At 38.1% G+C, this 23894-nt stretch overlaps 1 long non-coding RNA gene and 1 pseudogene across 11 annotated transcripts in view, besides 3 other annotated features; one reads left to right on the top strand and one right to left on the bottom strand.

Moving 5' to 3' along the window:
* Positions 1-1729, bottom strand: part of LOC101929540 (uncharacterized) — a 32174-nt gene extending 30445 nt beyond the window's left edge. For 8 of the 9 annotated variants that reach the window (XR_007062117.1, XR_007062122.1, XR_007062119.1 and 5 more), the window contains exon 1: positions 1344-1729. This is a non-coding gene — a long non-coding RNA (uncharacterized LOC101929540). The remainder of the gene's footprint in view (positions 1-1343) is intronic. The other variant, XR_002957070.2, reaches the window with a different exon arrangement.
* Positions 1084-1955: an enhancer, noted in NCBI's record as "NANOG-H3K27ac-H3K4me1 hESC enhancer chr10:38691867-38692738 (GRCh37/hg19 assembly coordinates)". NCBI's record gives its function as "activates a minimal SCP1, AML or CMV promoter by ChIP-STARR-seq in primed H9 embryonic stem cells {active_cell/tissue: H9 hESC(primed)}" and the evidence as "EXISTENCE:reporter gene assay evidence [ECO:0000049][PMID:30033119]".
* Positions 1391-1640: an enhancer, noted in NCBI's record as "active region_3275". NCBI's record gives its function as "activates an Ori minimal core promoter by ATAC-STARR-seq in GM12878 lymphoblastoid cells {active_cell/tissue: GM12878}" and the evidence as "EXISTENCE:reporter gene assay evidence [ECO:0000049][PMID:35858748]".
* Positions 1956-2827: an enhancer, noted in NCBI's record as "NANOG-H3K27ac-H3K4me1 hESC enhancer chr10:38690995-38691866 (GRCh37/hg19 assembly coordinates)". NCBI's record gives its function as "activates a minimal SCP1, AML or CMV promoter by ChIP-STARR-seq in primed H9 embryonic stem cells {active_cell/tissue: H9 hESC(primed)}" and the evidence as "EXISTENCE:reporter gene assay evidence [ECO:0000049][PMID:30033119]".
* Positions 1967-21871, top strand: SEPTIN7P9 (septin 7 pseudogene 9; annotated as a pseudogene). Of its 2 annotated transcripts, NR_027269.2 has the most exons (4): positions 1967-2325; positions 12777-12911; positions 13988-14053; positions 21639-21871. The product of NR_027269.2 is annotated as a septin 7 pseudogene 9, transcript variant 1 (transcript). The 2 variants fall into 2 exon arrangements; NR_148868.1 differs by lacking the exon at positions 13988-14053.
* The last annotated feature ends 2023 nt before the right edge of the window (positions 21872-23894 follow it).

Genomic DNA, 23894 nt, shown 5'->3' with positions numbered 1-23894 from the left:
TTTGGCCTAATATACAAAGTTGCCAGGGCAGCACTGGGTCAATTCTACATACAGTACTTCTATGTTCATCAAGGGAAACCTTAAGGGAAAGTGAAAATGCTTCTAGAAGGTGACTGGACACCAGCGCCTTTGCTTGTTGCCTTTGGGCTCTTCTTCTAAGGCCAACAGTGACCTGAAATTATTGACTGGCTTTTCCAATCAAGTGGACAAAATGGTACCAAGGTCGCCAACATCAGACAAATTCACTTGAGGGCCTTATCTATGTGCTTTGAACGACAAAACTGCTTTTGTAAAGGACACTGTATTTCAGAAAAACATAATCATATTAACAAATAATAACACTGTAAAATGCTGATGTGTTGAATGCTACTTTAGAAAAACATGCTCAAATCTAGGGAAAAAATTTGATACAAAACTACATATCAATTATCTAGCTAGCTAGCTAGCTAGAGACATGCTTTCATTCTATTGCTCAGGATGGGAAGCAGTGGGATTATCATAGCTCACTGCAGCCTTGAGCTCCTGGACTCAAGTGATCCTCCTGCCTCAGCCTCCTAACTAGCTAGGGCCACAGGTGGACACAGTTATGCCTGGGTTTTTGTTTGTTTTGTAGAGACAGGGTGTCACTACATTGCCCAGGCTGGTGTCAAACTTTGGAGTCTCGCTGTGTTGCCCAGGCTGGGGTGCAGTAGTGCGATCTCAGCCCAATGCAACCTCCGCCTCCCGGGTTCAAGTAATTCTCCTTTATCAGCCTCCCAAGTAGCTGGGACTACAGGCATGCGCCACCACGGCCGGCTAATTTTTGTATTTTTTGTAGAGACTGGGTTTCACCATGGCCAGGCTGGTCTCCAACTCCTGACCTCAGGTGATCCACCTGCCTTGGCCTCCCAAAGTGTTGGGATTACAAGTGTCAGCCACTGAGCCTGGCGGAGCACTTTCTTATGTTATTAAGTAGCCTAACCCAGGTGGGGCGCTGTCCCTCACGCCTGTAATCCCGACAACTCTGATGGCCAAGCTGAGAAGATCGCTACAACTCAGGAGTTCGAAACTGGCCCGGGCAACATAGCGAGACCCCCCGCCCACCCCATCTCTAGAAAAAAATACAAAAATTAGGCCAGGTGCACACAGCACCCGGCTAATTTTTGTATCTTTTGTAGAGACGGGGTTTCGTCATGTTGCCCAGGCTGGTCTCGAACTCCTGAGCCCAAGCCATCCATCCTCCCGCTTTGGCCTCCCAAAGTGCTGGGATTACAGTAGGGCCCAGCCAGCCTCATGTTTTATTTAGCAGTCCCTCCCTGTTGCACACTTGGATAGTTTTTTTAATTTTTTTAGACACGGTTTACCTCAATCTCGCAGGCTGGAATGCTGTGGTGGGATCATAGCTCACTGGAGCCTTGAACCTTTGGGTTCAAGTAGCTGGGGGGCTGAGGTAGGACTACAGAGATGGGGTTGCGCCATGTTGCTAGGCTGCTCTTGGCCTGAAGGGTCCTCCTGCCTCGGCCGCGGCAGACATAGTTTTCTATTTTTGACCAACATAAACACTGTGCTGGGTCTGAATTTTTCAGCTACCCTTCTTCAGCCGGCAACACACAGGACCTGGCGGTGAGGTCGCTCTTACCAGTCCCCACTCTGACGAGAAGACTGCCCAGCTCCAGGCACCGTAGCGCCCCAGTGACGTAGCCGAACACCCGCGCCTGTGACTCGCCAAAGGCCCACCTCTATGGTGTCGGCGAAGGCGCGCCCTTGCGGCGCCGGGGAAGGCGCGCCCGTGCGGCGCCGGGGAAGGCGCGCCCGTGCGGCGCCGGGGAAGGCGCGCCCTTGCGGCGCCGGGGAAGGCGCGCCCTTGCGGCGCCGCGGAAGGCGCGCCCTTGCGGCGCCGCGGAAGGCGCGCCCTTGCGGCGCCGCGGAAGGCGCGCCCTTGCGGCGCCGCGGAAGGCGCGCCCTTGCGACGTCACAGGGGACCGCCACTCACGCGGAGCCAATCGGAACTCATGGCGGGGCTGCTGGGTCTTCCAGGAGCGCGCATGAGCGGACGCTGCCTATGGGTTGCCGGGCGAGATGTAACCGGCTGCTGAGCTGGCAGTTCTGTGTCGCTAGGCTTCGGCCCGGCCGCCGCCACACATAAGCTGCGATGAGGAGCTTTACGACTTCCCGGTCTTCGGGGCCGGGCGCAGCAAGGGCCAGACTCTGCGCTAGCAGGCGCTGCGCGCCAACCGGCCGGCACCTGTCGCAGAAGGTGCAACCGATCGCACTGTCGCGCAGAAGCTCCTCAATGGCCAGCACCAGCTGCAGCCCCGGCCGCCCACTCGCCTCACTTGAGCCTGTGTACGTGCGCCCCACAACGCCTCCCCCAGCCAGGGCCCGTGGATCCCCGGGAGCGTCCCCGGCTATCTGGCGCTGCTCATCCTGGGTAGGGTCGGCCCCTCTGAGGCTGCCCGGCATGAGGGAGCTGCAACCCTGAGCTTGACCTCTGACGGCCCTTTGTAATAGCATTAAGTCTTTGAAACTTTGTAGCGGGGTAGAAGGGGCTAGGAAACAAAGAAAACATCTTTTTGAAAATATAATCTGTCGGCTGGGCGAGGTGGCCCACGCCTGTAATCCCAGCACTTTGGGAGGTCGAGGCGGGATCGCGAGGAGAGGAGTTCAAGACCAGCCTGGCCAGCATGGTTTCACTGAAACCCCGTCTCTACTAAAAACACAAAAATTAGTCGGGCGTGGTGGCAGGTGCCTGTAATCCCAGCTACTCGGGAGGCTGAGGCAGAGAATTGTTTGAACCCGGGATGCGGAGGTTGCAGTGAGCGGAGATCGCGCCACTGCACTCCAGCCTGGGCAACAGACCAAGACTCCGTCTAAACAAACAAATATATGTGTGTATATATATGCGATCGAGCCCAGGAGGTTGAGATTACAGTGAGCTGAGATTATATAAGCGATCAAGCACTGGAGGTTGAGGTTACAGTGAGCTGAGATTGCGCCATTGCACTCCAGCCCGTGTAACAGAGGGAGACTCTGTCTCTAAAAAATTATATATAAGTGAGAGCTTTTCTTCCAGCACTCATGCTCAGACTGAAGAAAGTAATTGTGCCAGGCCCGGTGGCTCACGCCCGTAATCCCAGCATTTTGGGAGGCAGAGGCGGTGGCGGAAGCAGGTGGATCGCTTGAGCTCAGGAATTCCAGACTAGTTTGGGCAACATGGTGGAACCCTGTCTCTACAAAAATACAAAAAATTAGCTGGGCATGGTGGCACGCACTTGTAGTCTCCGCTACTTGCCGGGCTTAGGCAGGAGGATCGGTCAGCTGCAGCCTTGACCTCCAGGGGCAATCCATTTCAGCCTCCCAAAGTGCTGAGATTACAGCCATCGTGACTGGCTTTACACTATATTTTAATACTTTTTTTGAAAATGGAAAATTTTACAGGCAATTCACTTCCTTCAAACTAATGATAAGGAAGTGATGCTGTTCTGTTCTGTTTTGTTTTTTGTTTTTGTGTTTTTTTTTTCTTTTTTGAGATGGGGTCTTGCCCAGGTTGGAGTGAGGTGGTGCAAACAAGGCTCACTGCAGCCTTGACCTTCGGGCTCAAGGAATCCTTCCCTGTCAGCCTCCCCGGTAGCTAGGACTACAGGTGCATGCTACCACGCTTGGCTAATTTTTTTGAAATGGAGTCTCACTCTGTCTCCCAGGCTGGAGTGCAGTGGTGCAATCTCGGCTCACTGCAGGCTGGTCTCAACCTCTGACTTCGGATGGTCCACCCACTTCTGCATCCCAAAGTGCTGGGATTACAAGTGTGACCCACCATGCCTGGCGATTTTGCTCATTTTAGATACTAGAACTTTTTAAATTAAATTTTTTTTTTCCTGAGATGGAGTCTTACTTTGTCTCCAGGCTGGAGTGTAGTGGCATAATCTCGGCTCACTGCAACCTCCACCTCCTGAGTTCAAGCGATTCTCCTGCCTCAGCCTGCCAGAGTTGCTGGGACAACAGGTGTGCACCACCACACCCAGGAGTTCAAGGCTGCAGTGAGCCATGATCGTACCACTGCACTCCAGCCTGGGCAACACAGCGAGACCCTGACTCCACAAATAAATAAATCAACATCATATGATCTGTACCAGGGTATAGGCAGGTGCTATGATCCCCACTTTTCATCCTCAACTCTAAGTTGAGTCATACATCAACCTCTAGTAAAAAGTGGCATGCTCTCAGTCAAAGGAGTAAGCCCAAACCACGTGGAGAGAATCTTATCTCTTTTGAGAGCTATATAAAAAGAATTCCTCCTAGGCATAAAAATATTGTGACACCAGTTACTTAGGCTAAACATGCCTATTATGCTAAGTGAGTTATTAACAATAAATACTTTAACTCTGTGCCATGTTAATTATCATAATCTGATTTATAATTTGTTTTAACCTTAGGTTATATATACCTTGAAGCCATTTATATTTTGGTATACTTGTAATAATTACTATACACTGGACTATGTATATTGGACTAAACACGGAGAGTCAAAAAAGAGTATGTGGTCAGAGTAGAAATCATGCCCTAGCTTCCTTCGTGTCTACCTCCTACCTTGAGTAGAAGTGGTAGAAAAAGTAATTACCTAAGATTTTTTTGGATTCTGGTTTGTGGAGAATCACCCTTATATTTAGGCTGATGGGCGGCGAAATTAGAAAGTATTTTTTGTGATTTTGAATTTTATACAGAGATGTTCATTGTGATTAATTATTCTTTGTATTAGCAGATTTTTGCTTTTTATAGCTGCATGATTTCTTGTTTATTATTCATTCATTATTGTCTATTAATAAAGAAAAACTTTATTTCACTGAAGCAGTGATATATAATCCAACTTGGATTTTTAAATAATGACTGACTTTTTTCTTTGGGAATACATTACTGTTAAAAATGTAATTATTAGATACATTACTTTTAATGAATATAAGTGGTATAATTAGAAGGCTGAAAAGAATCCTTGGAAACGTGAGTTTAATTTGATAGCTAAGAAACTGAGGACAAGATACTTATTCTTTGTAGCATATTTTCTAATGTCATTTCATTGTCTCACCAAGAAATACTTGCATAAAGCAAGTTCAATTACAGCATCTGTTGAATATTTAAGGTTGGGTAAAGTGGGTGAGTTTAACAGATATTTTCCCTTATTTCTTTTAGACGAATCTGGACTGGGAAAGTTGACATTAATCAACTCATTATTCCTCACAGATTTGTATTCTCCAGAGTATCCAGGTCCTTCTCAGAGAATTAAAAAACCTGTACAGGTCTAGATATTGGTATTTTTAATTGATGATAAGCTGGAATAATATTAATACACACAAAGCATGTGTTGTAACTTTTATTATGCTTCCTTAGAGGTAAGATGCAAATTTGCCCTTAGCCAGTGTAAGATGGTAAATATGACTTCATAAAATTAAAAAAACAGAAGAAGTACAGTTAATCAAAAGAATTATCTTGACTAGAACTTTCCAAATTTGTCCTAAGGATTCTCCTAGAGATGACACTGTGACATAGTAACCAATTCCCCTGGAGTTGTGCTATGTAGTATGATAGTCATTTGCCACATGTTTAAATCAATTAAAATTAATTAAATTAAAATGCAATTTCTCATTTGCTCCAGATACATTTCAAGTGCTCAACAGCCACCTGTGGCAAGTGGCTGCCATTTTGTGCAGCACATATGTGAAGATTTTCATCATTGTAGAAAATTGCATTGGACAGTGTAGAGAAAACATGATTCATAGAAAAACTATTGTTATTTAAATACAGTGTTCCATATTAGTCAGTGGGATAATACCATATCATAGTTGAATGGCAATAGCAATTCGGTAAGACTCCCAAGCTATATGTGATTTAATTTACTGCTTCTCAGTCTTTGCTATGCATTCCAATCCTGGGTATCCTGTTAAATTTATTTCTTCTAGTAGTTCTGAGATGGGCTGCCTTTCTACATTTCTAACAAGATCCCAGGTGATGCTGATGCTGCTGGATGGTAGATCACACTTTATAAAGCAAGGGGCTAGACTCTAGATATGCACTTTTTATTAAATAGTACAGCAGCCTGTAGCCACATGTGGCTATTAATCTTTGAAATGTGGGTAGTCTGAATTGTGATGTTCTGCAAATATAAAATATGCCACAGATTTCTAAGACTGAGCATGGAAAAGAAAATCTCCGTAATTTTTTATATTGATTGTATACTGCAGTGATATTTTGGATGTATCGGGTTAAATAAAATTGACTGATTTCACCTTTTTCCTATTTTAAAAGTGGCTACTAAGAAAATTTTAAATTACTTACATGACCGACATGGTATTTTTATTTGGCAGCGCTGCTCTAAGCTGTTGATGAAAAATATTGTTGGTGAGCTCTGCTTAGGTAATATATAGGACATGAGCAGAGAGGAGGCACATGAACAGTTCTGGCTGGAGTAGGCTTCATTGAGGCCATGATGCTTTTAGCTGGATTTGAAGAAGTGGTAGTGATCATCCCAGTGCACAGGATAGGAGGACAGTCTATATATTCTGAGCAGTAACTCATATATATCATACTGCAAGACCCCAAAGGAGTAATTTTGTGAAGTAAATATCTTATTTCTCCTTTTTAATGTTTCTATTTTAGGAATTTTTTTTTTTTTAGTAACCTTCATAGGGCTTGAGATTTAAAATTACCTGCAAAATTCTACTCTAAAAACTTGATCCTACCTGCTTATTTATTTTGTGATAAATATTGGAAATTTTAAACCTAAGCAAGAAAATGAACTTTGAACTTTCTTAATTTGGGTATCTATTATGAATACCTTCACTTAAGTATTTATGAATTTAGATATGAAAGGTAAAACTAAGCACTATCCAAATTAATATACAGTTCATTTCCAGAACCCTAGTTTCTTCCATGTGCTCACTCGCATTCAGTATTACAACCCCCAAAGATAAACACCTTACTGAATGCCTTCTCCATAAATTTGCCTGTTCTTGAACGTTATATACGTATACTTTTTTGTATCTGTTTTCTTTCAGTGAAGATTCTGTCTGTATTATTTACTCATGTTGGGTGTAGTTGTTTTTTTCATCGTCGTATAATACTCCATTGTGTGAATGTATCAGTATATCCTTTATTATTTATTGTAGATAAGCCTTTGGGTTTTCAGTTTTTTACTAACGGGAACATTCTTGTGCATGTCTTAGTAGACTTAGGCACTCATTGCTGTTGTGTGTGCATAAAGATATAAAGGTATTTGAGTTTATTTGATTTCTAGTGAGGTTGAACATGTCTTTTGTACTCAATAACTGTTCAGATTTCATTAAAGTCTTTTGGTAATCTTAATATTTTCTGTCATTTTCTTGCTGATTTATAAGAGTTTGAAAAATCTAATAATCCCCTACATTTTAGATATTGCAGACATTTTCTCCCCAGGTGAGCATCTGTTAAAGATGTGACATGCCCTCAATTTATTTTAGAATTCTTACATTGGCTTAGCTTCAAAATAAGTTGCCTAAACCCATTTTACCTTCCTTTAAAGTAACACTTCAAAAATATCCTCTTCTGTTGTGAATATCTTCCCGGAAACTCTCTTTATCTTGAAAACAAAGGGGTAATGGAGGTGAGAATATCTCTAGTAGGATTTTTAAGACAGGCCTGTGCACCACTGTTAAATATCTTTTCTGTGCCAAAAAGAAGACCTGTAACATTTGAGAACCAGATTGATCCTTAGTAGAATCCTGTAGAAGTCCTCTTTCCTGATTGAACCATGGAGGTGTATTCCTTTATATACTGAAAACTAGCTGAAGATAATCTAAACTCTTGTGCCCAGTTAGGAAAGAACATGCCATATTACGGACAGGGTCAGAGTCATTCAAGAAGCCTGAATATAGTTAGAAAATGAGAATGTAATCTTTTTAATAGTTGGCTGGCTCCTTACCAAGCCCAGTAGTCTTGAAGATATAGGGGAAATAGTGTAAACGGTTGTCAAGATGAATCTAAAATGGAAATTAATCAGTTCCCTAGAATAGATTGAGAAATTAGCTTTAGGAAAAAGATAAATTTCACACACACTGTACCATGGAAGGTACAGTGCTGATTCAGACAGACTGGGAATGGTCTCATTTTTAAGTGGTGATGTGAGGTACTTCACTGAGCATTGTGACAGGCACGGGCTTGGGAAGAGCCTATTAGGGAATGGGAGAGGCATGAGACTAAGGAGCACATAAGAGGAATATTAGCAGAGAAATTCTTTTTGAGGTTGAAGGTCATGAATTTTATGGTATAGGAATAGAAAGATGGGTTAATCCAGAATGGGAATTGAGTTGGAAAGGGAAAGAAATAAAGGTTTTGGGAAGGAGGTTGCTAATAGAAAATGAGAGGGGCAAGGGATTTGAGGTCTCAATAAGGAGACAGGGATATGAGGAGTGGAGAGGTTCAGAATAGAAAGCCAAATTAGAGTTTTGGGATCAACTTTCTTCTTAGTAAAGTAGTCCTGGGTCTTCATGAGAAGGAAGTATTCTTCAGGCATAACTGTTCTACTATTGGTTACTTCCTCTTTCATTTTCTTGTGGAACACCATGAAACATTTAAGATGATATTTGTCTTTTGAGCCAATAAATAAGGGAAATAGATAGTTTTTGTGTTTGAGCTAAGTGGAGTATCTCAGGCCATTCCAATGTCTTCAGAGTTTTGGCTGTAATGCTACCTCTTGAGCAAGTGTAGGTAGAGGTAAGTTCTTGACAGAAAATTTTAACCCTCTCTTCAAAATGTTATATGCTTAATTAAATAACTTCTTAATTTACCTTAATAAATGGCATGTAAACATTAAGTTAGAAAAGGTTAGTGTATATGAAGCTGTATAATCAACATTGTTTGACTTTTTTTCCTCAGATTGTAAAACTGAAAACTCAGTATACTAATACTCTTGTATACTGTATACACTCAGTATTAGAAAATGAGTACCTTTGGTTTCTGGAATCTCGGATGCCAAAAGAGGTCTCAATAGATGAATTATACATAGATGATTCATAGATGATAGTTTTAGTTTATTTATTTTTCAGGGAAAAACATTTGAAAATGTTCTTGATTCATTTTTTTGTTATTAAATTATGCAGCTAATCTTAGAGAACCCTGAGTGATGCCATAAAAGATGTTGATGTGGCCTGCTTAAGGAAAGTGCATGGGAAAGTGGCCATTTGGAATAGATTTGTTAGGGAAAGTCTGAAATTCTTAGACTTGAACTAATTTGTTTTCCATGGATCCCATGAGGATACTTGTAAAAGCAGATGATAGGGTCCAGTTGGATCCTGTGAATGGCACTAGTTTGCAGTTATGTTTTCTGGATCTCTTCCATATGTCGCTGACTTCTTTGTATTTGACCATGTATGGACATACAGAATTTCATAGGCCAGAAAAGAAAAGAAGCTTTATAAACATTCCTTATGTGTGTAAAATACAAATCTTCATTTGTCTTAGCAAGTCAATAAGTAATTAAGTTGTTGAACTGATTTTTTTTTTAAACAGGGAAATATCTTAAAATTTAAGCTGTTAGGTTAAAATGTGTATTTGTTATACAGCATATTACTGAAGGTAGAATGGGCTTCATTTGGTAATAAAGGAACCAGAAATATTTTTAAGTAAAATTGGGAGATGATTCATGTAAATTAACTATATTTTTGTATCTCTTTCTAGAATACAGTACTATGTTGTTTAAAAGAGTAAGTGGGTAAAGGAGTGGTATAATTACTGTGGATATTTCTACTTCAGCCACAGTTACCATGAATAAATGATCTGTCTTTATAAAGGAGATGGAGGTGAATTCAAGATATTGAGATGTTAGATTTGACTGGGTTGTCCTTTGACTAGAAGATCACCAGATAAAGAAAATGTAAACTTCCTAAACCAGATAAGATGATATCGTTAAAAATTTTTTTTGACCCAGCACTTTGGGAGGCTGAAATGGGAAGATTGCTTGAACCCAGGAGTTTGAAGCTGCAGTAAGCTATGATCTACCATGCACTCCAGCCTGGGCAACAGAGTGAGACCCTGACTAAAAAAAAAAATTTTTTTTCCTTTGGTTCTCATGATTTCACACTGATGAATCTGATTGTTTTCTCTGAGTCATTTTGCCTCTCTCATGTTATTAGGGTAACCTGATAATAGACATGTTATCTTAGTTATGTGGTATGTAACAGTGATCTTCTAAATGATATGCATCCATCACTGATACTGAGAATGATCAGAAACTATTACAACTCTTATTTATTGATGTTTACTTTTAATCTACAGATAAATGATAATACATATTAATACTTAATATTCAGATTGCCAATAGTATATATTTGGTGGGTAAATATCTTTTGGATCTGCAAAATTTTCACTGATAGTTTGTATCAGGATCAAAGCAGTTTGAAGAACATTAATCTAAAAGATAAGACTTTGGCATCTCATTTCTCTAAAAGATAAGTCATGCATGTCCACATCTCAGGCAATTTTTTTCAGTTTTATAAGTTTTATTCTTGATAATAAAATTCTTTTAACAGAAAACTCTTGATTGCTATAGACCTCTGCTGTGTATTCAGTAGTCACTAGCCACATGTGGCTATTTAAGTTAATTCAAATTAAATAAAATTAAATATCAGTTCCTTATTTGCACTAGTCAGATTTTAAGGAATAAGTAGCCACATGGGCAAGTGGCTACCATATTGGACAGTGTGGATACACAACAATTCCATCATCTCAGAAAGTGTTATTGGATAGTGTGGCTACAGACTTTTCTTGCTCAGCAATCTTAGTCTCCGCATGTTAGTCTCTTCATGCATTAGGTAGCATCTATAAAACATGCCAAAAGGAAATAGGCTATCTCTAAAAGTGTCCCAAACTTTTTGTCTTGTAAATTAGCTTATCAGCATACTTGGAGCCTCTTGCCTTAAAAAGGACTTGATATAAATGTGTATCAGGAGAAAGCCTATCTTATGAAGGAATTATTCCCTTTTTATTTGAATCCATGTTTGCTTTATCTTGGGCTCCTGAAAACTGATACTTTGCATTTAACAGCAGCATATGCCCAGGATGAATGATAATACATCTCCTGATACAGAGCTTGAGGTTACAGAATATCTTAAATTGTTCCAGGAACTGTTGTTATCATTTAAGTCCAATAATCAGTAAGATTTCACCCTACCAGAATACACTTTTTTTTATTAACTGTCTGGACCTTTGCTGATTACATTTTCCGGAATGTGGAGTATCGCATTTGAGAAGAGGATTGGATCCTAGCCATAACATAAATATAAGGGTAATTACATCCATGCTGAGAAAGATTTAGGAATGATAGTAAGTTCATTTGAGTGAGTGGTTTGGGCCAAACTTGATAGAGAATAGTCCAGGAAGACATTTACTATAAACGGTAGATTAAATGTTCTTGCCTGGTTAATTACATTTGAACTCTGTGAATGACTGAATCACTCAAACTGCTTAATTGTATTATTAGATGCACATTTAAGTTATGTATTACATGTCTTTAGTGGTGATCAGAATTTTATCAGTTCCTCTGTCTTTCTTTATACCAAGTATGACTCATAAACCCAGTATTAATTTGCCAAGAGATTGGCACACTATTTGTATATATGCTTTTCTTTCAAATAATCTGGATTCCCAATGCCCACAATCATTGATCCTAAAGAAAATGTGGGAGTAGGTAGATAAACTCAAACATCCCTACCATCACCCCTGGTAAGAAATCACTGGTGTAATGTATGATATTAACATCTGCACCAATTACTCTTATAGATGGAACAATCCAAAGTTTTAATCAAAGAAGGTGGTGTTCAGTTGCTGCTTACAATAGTTGATACCCCAGGATTTGGAGATGCAGTGGATAATAGTAATTGGTAAAAAGGATTTGTCCTCACAACTTTCCAGTGTATTTGGGGTACTGGGGTGGTTAAACTTTCTCTTCTTAACATTTTAAAACTCTTCTTAGCAAAGGTCACCAAACTTCAAGTAACATGACAGGTTTGTATACCAACTTTGCCACTTATTTGACAAAGTTTAAATTCAAAGTTAAACAAAGAAGTTTAACTTATTTGAACCCATTTACTTTTTGATAAAATGGAGATAATACCTATCATAAAATTGTTTTTAAGACATATTCCAAAATAACGTAGCTAGATAGAAGAATTCTCATTATTGTAAGAAATTTAAAACGGTTTGCTTTAATTTTATCCATTTGTATAAATTCTATCTCAATCCTAATTTAAACCTGATATTTAGACCTTCAGTTTTTCCATAAGTCCTAAGTGAAGAAAACTATGAAATTTTAGTCTGAAGTAATTATCTTAGTATTTTATAAATAACTTTAATTTTGTTTGAATTTACATTGTTTTTGAGGTATTTTTCTGTCAACTCTTAAAACTCCTAAGTTCATCATGAAGTTTTTATATTATTTAAGTAATCTCTCCTTTGAAATTTGAAACTGAATATAATTGTTTTCATATTATGAAGTGTGTTATTAATACACTTACTAGTGCCAATAGTATGCTAATAATTTAGCTGTGTTTCAACAATAAATATTTTCTTTCATTTGGAAAGTTTTGAAATAATGAATAAAGATTTATTCAACACAATTTATATTTTTGAATCTTTATATAGAATAACTTGACATATCTTCCATTGGTTAATTCATTTTGCCTATTTGAAAATATTGATTATTGTCCTTTAACAGTCATCAGTTAATTCATATGTAGTATTGCAACTTAATTGTTTTGTTTATTTGCATTCTATAGCTGGCAGCCTGCTATCAATTATATTGATAGTAAATTTGAGGACTACCTAAATGCAGAATCGCGAGTGAACAGATGTCAGATGCCTGGTAACAGGGTGCAGTGTTGTTTATACTTCATTGCTCCTTCAGGACATGGGTCAGTAACCTGATACTTCTGATTCCTTTTTGTTGTTGTTGCTTACTGTTACCTTTATGTGCATATTTGAGTAATCTTTAAGTTTGTGAAGTACATACAACTATACCCATTATTAAGTACCAAATTTCATGTAGAAATGTCTTAGTTGAAAAGCCTTTTTAAGTCCTGTGTAAGCTAACAGTGCTTTTACTCCTTAGTTCTTATTCATAAGGATTTTCCCTGCTTCATGGAAATAAACAGTGTTGCCACCATGGTTTGAGGTCTCAATGTGGCAAATTTAGCTTTCACGTTGAACTACCAAATAAAGAGAAGCAGCCAAACCAGTTAGACATATTCAAAATAAATCCAGAGATACTATTTATTATGTCTCATAAGAGATGGTTATCAAAAGCACTTGCATGCCAATGTTTTCTTGTGCCATTTCTTTCTGCAAGAAATCTGTTTGGCTTCTGTTTCACCTTAGCTGTCATAGACATGTCGTTTAAGTATCATGTTGTCAGTACTAACCTTTTGTTTATTAGGACATAAGACCTAAGAATCTAGACATTAATCTGATGTGATTGTTCTTTCTGTTTGTTATAGTTAGCCTGTACTCCCTTTTTTGTTCTTTGTACTTCCCCTTTCATTTTGAGTACATATATGTGTCATTTGTAACTGCAGATTTTTCCAATTATTCTTCCTCAGTCTTTTCCTTTGGGTAAGTAACTCAGCATACATAATTCAGCCACCTGGTGATTGTAACTCCACCATCTCTCCACCAAAAGAACTGTAGTAGCATCAGGCTACATAGCATTAAGTTATCTAACACTCAAACGTTACAGTAGAGTAAACCAATTCCTTCAGGTATACCTTTCTCTTCCATTTTTGGCTTCTCGCTCTCTTTTTTTTGTTTGTTTTTATAGATGGGTCAATGCCCATTATCACTCTAGATGGATAAGGGAGCCTTAATTATATACTTATATTTTTGCACTGTCATATTGGAGTGGGGTAAAAATGTTTCTTCTTTTACGTCTAATACTCTTGTTTTTTTTTTTTTTTTTTTTTTTGCTGTGCCCTAAACCATTACATAACTGAAGACTCCCACCTTCAGGCAGGATTGGGTAGTACATGTTTGTAACTACCTGGCATTGCCTTTTGTTGAGGTAATTTCAGTTTTTATTAGTAGTAGTAGTAGTAGTATACTTTAAGTTCTACGGTATATGTTCACAATGTGCAGGTTTGTTACATATGTATACATGTGCCATGTTTGTTTGCTGCACCCATTAACTGGTCACTTACATTAGGTATTTCTCCTAATACTATCCCTCCCCCATCCCCCACGCCACGACAGGCCCTAGTGTATGATATTTCCTGCCCTGTGTCCAAGTGTTCTCATTGTTCAATTCCCACCTATGAGTGAGAAACACCTATGCGGTGTTTGGGTTTCTGTCCTTGCGATAGTTTGCTCAGAATGATGGTTTCCAGCTTCATCCATGTCCCTGCAAAGGACATGAACTCATCCTTTTTTATGGCTGCATAGTATTCCATGGTGTAGATGTGCCACATTTTCTTAATCCAGTCCATCATTTTATGGTGTTCTCAGTTTACATATTTAAATCACTAAACTGACTCTTTGACTTAACAGGCTCGAAAAAAAGTCATCTCAAAAATACAACACACTGTATAACCTTTTATAAGTATTTGTGTAGCTTTTTGAACTTATATTTTTAAATCATTCTCATTTAACTTGTCAGGGCCTTTTTCTGAAAGCCAGCAGAGTGAAATCTTAACCTGCAGTTAAGTCAATAAAATTTGTCAGCTTATAACCAATTTTATTATTTTAGATTTTCTGGACTCTCTCCAACTATAGTAATTCTCATGAAATCACATTCCTGCCATCCCCTTGGGGAAAATTTTATTTCTTAAAATTGCATGGGAAATGAGAGCTGTTTTAAAAGAAAAAAAGTTTTATATTCAAATGATATGTAGTGGCTTTGTGCCATTTCTTATTCATCACAAGGGGTAAGATGTTTAAAATTGCTATATCTTATATATAAAAATGTACCTTTGAATAATTTCTCAGTTTAACTATTTTTAGAAATGGAGCAAAGTTTTGCCCATTGGTACATGATATTGTGGATTAAGTGAAAGAATACGAGGCTGGGCGCGGTGGCTCACACCTGTAATCCCAGCACTTTGAGAGGCTGAGGCAGGCGGATCACCTGAGGTCGAGAGTTCGAGACCAGCCTGACCAACATGGAGCAACCCCGTGTCTACTAAAAATACAAAATTAGCTGGCCGTGGTGGCGCATGCCTGTAATCCCAGCGACTAGGGAGGCTGAGTCAGGACAGTTGCTTGAACCTGGGAGATGGAGGTTGCGGTGAGCTGAGATCACACCATTGCACTCCAGCCTGGGCAACAAGAGTGAAACTCCATCTCAAAAAAAAAAAGAATATGACACAGAATTTTATGTATAGAGTTCCAGGTACCCTGCTCACTACAGACTGAAATTCTATGCAGTCTAATAAATGAATCAGAGCCTTTCCATCTTGTCTGGGTAGTCCCTAGGTTCCCTTTTTAGAGGGTTTTGTTTTTAGAGTGATTATAAATTCGTCCAACAGTGCACTTTCAGTGCCTCCTACCTCCCTCTACCAAGTATGAACTGCATGCATGGCTGATATATGATTTCGGCTATTATCGCTTCATGTGCGTTGTTCACTATTTTGTAACTGTTATTAAAGTAAAATACTGACTTGGAACATGAATTTTAAAATGGTGTTTTATCCTTCTAGTATTGATTCCCACTTTTAGAAAAATTGGTGTCATCCAGTGAGTTTTATACAGAAGGATTTTTTCCCTTAGAAATACATACATACATACATACAAAAAAAAATTTGTCATTTTCCCTGTAGTTGTTTATAATGCTGTAGAATTTGAGGCTAAATAGTCTTTTCTCTCTGCTGTGGGTTTATCTTCTAGAAATGATAAAGGATTTTCTATTGCTTAAAAACAAGATTTAAAAACTAAATTTGTTGACGAAAAGACTAGCCAATATAAATCTAAAGGGACAGAGGGAAAAAATTCAACCAGAATGTAATACACATGTGAACTAAATGTTTTCTGTTGCTGATGTTTTGTTATATTTTGTTCCTCATGGTTATATGGTTATTATGCAGTTATTTTATATTTTGTTATATAGTTACTTTGCACTGAAGAAAGCAAAGTTCTTTCATCTGAGGAAGGCAAGTCCTTTTAAATTATCAGGCTGGGGAGGGCATGAAAATGAGACAGCAATCATGTTGTAACTCCCCACTTTAAGCTATGTATTCATCTCTTGAAACCGCTTACTATTGCCATAAACAGCTGTACATTAACCTAATAATGTCACACTGGACACTATAACCCACATCCTATAGCTTAAAAACATACAGCCAATCATGTGTATATCTATGTAACAAACCTGCATGTTCTGCACATGTATCCCAGAATTTAAAGTACATTTTTAAAAAAAGAAAATGACATTTAAAATACCACACCAAAAAAAAATAGCCAATCACTTATCAATGTTATTTCTGCAAACCAAACAGAATTCCTGACAAACAACTTTGTATCAGCCTACTCTGTCACCCTTTTTGCCTTTAAAAGCCTGTTTGTAACAAAGGCTGAAGGGAGCTCATATCCAAGGTTAGTTAAGTCTTCTGGGCAGCTGCCCTCACTTTGGCTCAAGTAAACTCTTCAAATTATATTTTGTGCATCAGCCTCTTCCTTTTAGGTTGGTAGCATGTACTCTTTCCTCAAGAGGAACCATAATTTATCAGTTTCCTTAATAAGCCTACAAAATTGTGTATCTCCACACTCCCTCTGCTATAGTTTGAAGATGTTCCCTCCAAAATTCAGGTGTTAAAACTAAATGGCCAGCCGCGCTTGGTGGGTCATGACTGTAATCCCAGTACTTTAGGAGGCCAAGGCGGGCGGATCACCTAAGGTCAGGAGTTTGAGACCAGCCTGGCCAACATGGTGAAACCTCACCTCTAATAAAAATACAAAAATTAGCCGGGTGTGGTAGTGCAGGCCTGTAATCCCATCTACTCAGGAGGCAGAGGTTGCAATGAGCCAAGATGGCACCACTGCACCCCAGCTTGGGCAACAGAGTGAGACTCTGTCTCAAAACAAAACTAAACATAACTAAATGGCCAATGTGATAGTATTGTTGGCCCCACTGTTGGTGGGGCCTTTAAGAGGTATTTAAACCACTGGGCTCCTCCCTTTTGAATTGTATTAAATGGCCTTATAAAGGGACTTCACAGACAGGACTGGTCCTCTTTTGCCCTTCCACCTTCTGCCATGAAATGGTACAGCAAGAAGGTCCCCACCAGATGCCAGCACCTTGATCTTGTACATCCTAGCCTTCACAATTGTGAGAAATAAATTTCTGTTCTTTATAAATTATCCAGTCTCAAATAAGTTTCTGTTCTTTATAAACTACCCAGTCTCAGATATTCTGTTATAGCAACACAAAATGGATGAAAACACCTTCAAATCATCTTTCAAAGAAAGTTAAAAGGGAGGGAGCAAAAAACAACCAGAGGGTAGTGAAACATTAATACCCTTGACTTTTTCTTGAGAAGGAAATCACTTAATACCTCTGCCCAAGTTTGGGTTAATTAGCCATATGGATGAGTGAAGAACTTAGAACACTTCAGCAAACTGCACATATTCTCCTAAGTATGATCCATACTCCATCATCTAACTGGGCAAATGACCAGAAAAAATAATGTAGAAAAAAACATTCAAAATGTTCTTATTTCTGATCTCCATTGGAGCTTATTAAAGGAACAGAAACATTAACCAAAGTAGTCTGAATTATATCAACCCTTCAAATGCCATTTTCAATGTCACTTTCAAGTGCTATTTTCTATTAGGAGACAGATACTATCTAAATTTCCATGAAAATTACAGGAAAAAAATGCTGCAATGAATTGTTCTTGTACAGATCTAAAATCCTTTACCCACTATTCTAAAGTCCAAACAGCTATGAAAATTTAGTCTTTTCAAATTTTTGGCACACTCATTTGGCAGCTGAACTATAGCTGTACTGAGGTGAGGCTATTTATCATCTTTACTTCTACTACTTAATGTGAATTCATGTATCTTTTTTGCTAACATATAGCTAGGTTTGATTGCAGGTTGTTATCCCAGGTCCCAGTAGAATTATTGCAAAACATACTGTATTGTATGCACCAACTTATCTTTCTAAACTCTAAGCAATTTTAAATTCTAAAGCACGGTTAGTACACATTTTGCATAAGTGATGGAAGTCCTGTATAAATATCTTTAGGTACATTAATGAGTTGTATCTTTAGGATAAATTTTAAAATGTAGAATTATTAAAGGTATGTGCATTTAAAATTTTGGTATTGTCAAATTGCTTTTCAAAGGAATTAACAATTTACATCACAAACAATATGAAATGAAAGTGCCTGTTCTTTCACACCCTGAACAAAACTTTTTGGTGTTTGATAATATGATAAGCAAAAAGGTGATAACTCATGTGCTTTTAATTTGATTTCATTTTACTATGGGTGAGAATAAATTTTACTATTGATTTGTGCACATTATTTAAATAGTAGGTTAATTATCCAATTGGCTTCTATGTTACAAATATTTTCCCAGCTTGTTATTTGAATTTTGATTTTTATTTGTGATAATTTATTGTACAGGAAATTTTAATTATTTTGTAATCATATTTATTCATCATTGATACATATGGAATTTATTTGGGTGTAAAGAATTGTATTAGTCTTCTATTGCTGCTGTAACAAATTGTCACAAATTTAGCAGTTTAAAACAATACACGTTTATTATCTGAGTTCTGTAGGTCAGAAGCCTGGCATAGCCTGACTGATTTCTGGCTCAGGGTCCCACTAGGCTAAATAAAAGCCAGGCAGGCTCTCGGTCAAATCAGCTTCCAAGTTCACTTAGACCCTTTGCAGAAACCAGTTCCTTGCTTGGTAGGTCCACAGTCCCACTTTCTTGCAGTTTATAAACTTTGTGGGGATGGAAGACAGAGGGAGGGATCCTCAGCTTTTAGAGGTCACCCACTATCCCGTCAGGTAGCCCTTTCTGCAGAAGGTAGTTTGCTCTTTCAGGGTCCACAGGAGAGCACTACTATAGCTGCAGATCTGACTTAACTTCTGCTCCTTCTCTACAGCTTTAAAGGCCTCATGTGGCCCACCTGAATAATCCAGGATAATCTCCCTATTTTAATAACAACTGCGCCACATAACAATGCAATCATGAGAGTAACTGGGCAAAGGTCATGGGGGATATTTTAAATTCTGCCTACTACAGCAGTGATAGAAGGCTCCAACTTTTTTTTTCCCGGTTACTAGCCACTTGTCCCAAAATTATTTGGAATAAATCACTGATACTACCAATTTGTTTGGTTGTTTGACATTTAGATTTTTGGATAATTCAGAAATGTTCATTATTTGAGAGGAACTCAGTCCCTACCCTTCTCCCACTCCAACTCCTTTCAAGACAAGAGATCAGTATTTGACAACTCTAACTCTGAAAATAAGAATAGTCTTATTCCAGGGCCAGACCCAAAGGCTCAATGTGAAAGTTCCTGGACTCAGAGGTGTCACGTAAGAAAGTGAGTGGAAACTTGGGAGTATGGCTGTCCCATGAAGAGCTCACCCTCTGGAAAACAGAAAAGGGTCCTAATCTTGGAGGTTTGACACTCATCATAATGTGGGAATGACAGCTAGAAAAAAACGGTGAACTCCAGGAAGGCTTGAAGGCATTGGAGCAAGGCCAGCAGCCTCTCCCTCCCACCATCACTTCCATGAGAACCACGTAAGAAAGACCTAGTTTCTTGTTATCTCTAGAGACCTGGCACCTTTCACTGAAGAATTTGCTTTCAAGCTGCTGCAAACTTTGAACAATTGTCTGACCTACTAAAAGTAACAGAGAAAGACAGAACTCTAGATGACTGAAGAAATCATGTATTTAAGTTATTAAAATGTATTATGTATAGGACAGTTATCATGATACTATCATTTTGTTGATGTCTCTTTGTGTATTTTTGATACCAGCCAGGTTCACTCTACCTGCACAGTAAATAAATTACTGGGACAATGGGTTTTTGCAAAAGAAAAGATTAATTAGGCATCCCAGCAAGGAGGTGGACAACAGCTCTCAAATCTGCCTCCCCAAAGATAGGAAATATTTATGGATTAGAGAAGCAGGTGGTCTAAGGCATAGGGAAAGGTGATTGGCAGTGGGTTAAAATGAGGTAATCAGTGATCTATGCCAGCATTATCAGGGTTCATGGCATTTCACAGGATATATGTCTCAGATCAGCATTAGCATGATCTGAGAATGGAGTTTTTGCCTCTGACATCAAAAGTTTCCCTCTCAGGTACCTGCACATGCCTAGTTGAAGGGTACGTGGTCTCAACTGGTTTGAACTGGACAGGAGCTGCCCTAAGTTCCTAAAAAACAACTGAAGTGACCACTACCATGTGACTTATGTTATCTGTAAAGTAGCCAGTGAAGGTTAAGTTACAGCATTCGGTGGTGCAGACTTCAGCTACCATGCCTTCAGCTTCAGGGAAAAACAAAAACAAAAGCAACAAGCAAACAACCCAAAGCAAGCAGGGCAGGATAAGTTTGGTGGATCTAATCAAATTAAGCCCTTGGTTTTACTTCCAATAACTCATACATTTTCTTCTTGATTTTTGTTGTGTTGATGTAGAAATTTTAGTTTCTGGACATGGAGAAGCATCGCCTGGTCATGATAACCCTATTCCTGGACAACCATTCATCCATTCTCTCAATAAGAATCTGGCAGCTCTATCTGTGGCTGATTATTTGCTATTTTTTTTCATCCACTTCTACCCTGAACTTTAAAATCTAGCTCTAATTCCTATCATGTGCCGGAACTAAGTCCTTGATGGCCAAGAATAAAGTGATTTATTTTTAGCCCCTTATAACAGAGAACTTGTACTTCTCTGTAGATCTCTCTGGAATGAAGTTGCCTCCAGTTTCAAGCAGGGGGAAACTACTGCCTTAACTCAAACACTCTCCCTTCATTTCCTTTCCCTCCTATCATCCATATCTCTTTTCAAATCCCCATACCTCCGGCCTGGCTCATAACTAATGTGTGGGATAGGATTTTTTACATTGTTATAAATGATAAGTAATTAATTCTTACTCATATGGCATATATAATAAATCATTTTTTTCCTGGGTGCTTGTGAATATATTTCTTTCAAATGTAGAATATAAATGATAGTTATAAATAGAGATCACTTTGCAATCAAAGATATAGAGAATATAGAATCATTTTGACTGTTAAATACAGCAGGGTGGGATAGTTACTTCCTAGCCTAAGAAAGAAAATAAATCCACGCATAGCCTATATCTAAAGCATCATCTATGTCAACTACCCACATTTAAACCTATTTATGAGTCACTAACAAAAAATGTTTCTTGAACATCCAGAGTCTCTGAAATTTCTCTTTTCCACTATAAACTGCTATAAAACCTCCCATAATTCCCTTCTTTGAAACAGGAGTCAAATGAGACAGTGAGGAATAACCTCCAGCAATGGTGAGATGAGCTCTCTTTAACCCAGTGGATTACTATCCATTTTCAACAGTCCTTTATGTATATTGTCATAGTTATTAAAAATAATAAGCAAATGAGACTTGTTGGATAATGAAATTTGTTCACATTTTCAGGTGGCAGACAAGAAACATGGATTATTGCGTGGAGTTCCATTAGTAGGAATAAGACTCATTCTACATTCTTGTTGTTCTTAGTGTTTTTTGTTTTTCATGAGAAGGAATTGTATCAGCACAAGGCAATATTCTAACATGACAATGACAGCAGACAGAACCTCAATAAACTCTGACTTGGTACTGCAAACACCATTTCATGATACCTTAATTCAAATAAACCTTTGTTTAATCAATTGTTCATATATTTATTTATACAACAAGCAGTAATCGAGTGCCTACTATGTGCCTTGCATTAATAGTGGCGAAACAATTTTTTTAAAAGTCCCAATCATCTTGGAGCTTATACTTCGGTAGGTTGAAAGGCAATAGACAAGATATGTAAAATACATATGTTAGATAGTAATAAGCAGCAAAAAGGAAAAAAAAAGGTAGATAAGAAAGATTAGAAGATATGAGGGGCATGATGAAATTTTAGACTGGGTGACCAGAAGACTTTGCTGAGAAGTGAAGCAAACAAAATGAGGGAAAAAAAGTTTGAGCTGACAACCACAATAACCACCATCTCCCATGCCCAAGAAAACAACTACAAGGGAGAAGAAAATACTAACCCAATGAAACAGAATTAAATATCCTTAAACAAGCATTTGGAGATATTAAAAAATACTATGGATCAAAAATTTTAAAAACAGAAATGGACAAAGAACAGGAAGAAATAAAACAAAAACTGATTATACTCAGGAAAGAAACAGAAGAAAGTAAAATCATACAGAAATAAAGATGGAACTAAAAAGTGCGGAGAAGTCTTGCTTTTAATTATAGCAATGTACCCCACCTACAGACCATCCTTCCTGAAGAACAACTATTAACTGTGGAAAAAAGGCAAAAAAAAAAAAAAAACCAATTACCTTAGAATTCCGAAGAAGAAACAACAGCAGGTACAGTGTGGAGGACAGCCCATGAGACATTCACCAAAGCAGGCCTTATCCTAGGCCATAAAACAAACCTCAACAAATTTAACGGTATAGAAATCAGACAGAATGTGATCTCTGACTGTAATAGAATAAAACTGGAAATCAAAACAAAAAAAGTCAGAAATCAATAACAAGTTTTTTAAAATCTCTAAAAATATGTACATTAAACAATATTTCTAAATAATCCATGAGTAAAGAGAAAGTATCAAAGGAAGTTAATAAAAATATATACAACTTAATAAAAAAGAATGTGTCAAAAAATCTGGCATGCAGCTAGAATAGTGCTAAGAAGAAAATTTATAGTTCTAAATGCTTATGATAAGAGGAAAAATTTCAAGTTAATAATTTTTTTACAGCAAGAAAGTAGAGAAAGAAGAACAAAATAAATCCAAGCAAGCAGAAGGAAGGAAATAGAAAAGATCTGAGCCGAAATCAGTGAAATTGGTAATAGGAAAACAATTGGGAAAATTTACCAAACAAAAAGTTGGTTCTTAGGAAAATACCATTAAAATTGAGAAACTCCTAGCAAGACTGACAAAAACTAAAAAAGAGAAGACATTAACATCAAGAACGAAATACAGAACATCATTACAGATCTCGTAGCCATTAAAAAGAAAATACTACTACAAGCAACTTTTATGCTAATAAATTTGAAAACTTAGAAATAATTGACCAATTCCTTAAAAAGTACAAATGACAAAAACACAAGATAAAACAGAAAATCTGAATAGTTTTATCATCATTAACAATTACATGCATAATTTTAAAGATTCATAAAATAAATCTCCAGGCCCAGATGGTTTCACTGGTGAATTCTACCAAATATTTAAAGAAGAATTAACACCAATGTTATATAATATTCCAGAATACAGAAGGTGAGAGAACACTTCAACTCATTTTATGAGGTTGCTATTGCCAAATAACCAAACCAGTCAAAACCAAAAAAAAGTACAGGCCAATATCTTTCATGAACTTAGACACATAAATTCTCCATAAAATATTAGCAAAGCAAATCCAACAATATTAAAAAGAAATGATTTATTTTTGGTAAAGACAGCATCTCGTTATGTTGCCCAGGCTGGTCTCTAACTCCTGGCCTTAAGCTATCCTTCCACTTTGGCCTCCCAAAGTGCTGGGATTATAGGCATTAGCTAATCCACCCAGTGATTTTTGTCAATAATCTATTGTCTCCAGTTGTTTTTGCAAGTTAGTTTCTTTGGTTCTCTGCAGTTTCACTATGTCTAGGTTTTTCTTTATCTGTGTCTATCTTGTGTGGAACTTGCCA

This window comes from Homo sapiens, chromosome 10 (assembly GCF_000001405.40).
Source record: "Homo sapiens chromosome 10, GRCh38.p14 Primary Assembly".
Taxonomy (NCBI): Eukaryota; Metazoa; Chordata; class Mammalia; order Primates; family Hominidae; genus Homo; species Homo sapiens.
The sequence above is the reverse complement of the archived record's forward strand: the minus strand, read 5'-3'. Positions and strand labels throughout refer to the sequence as shown.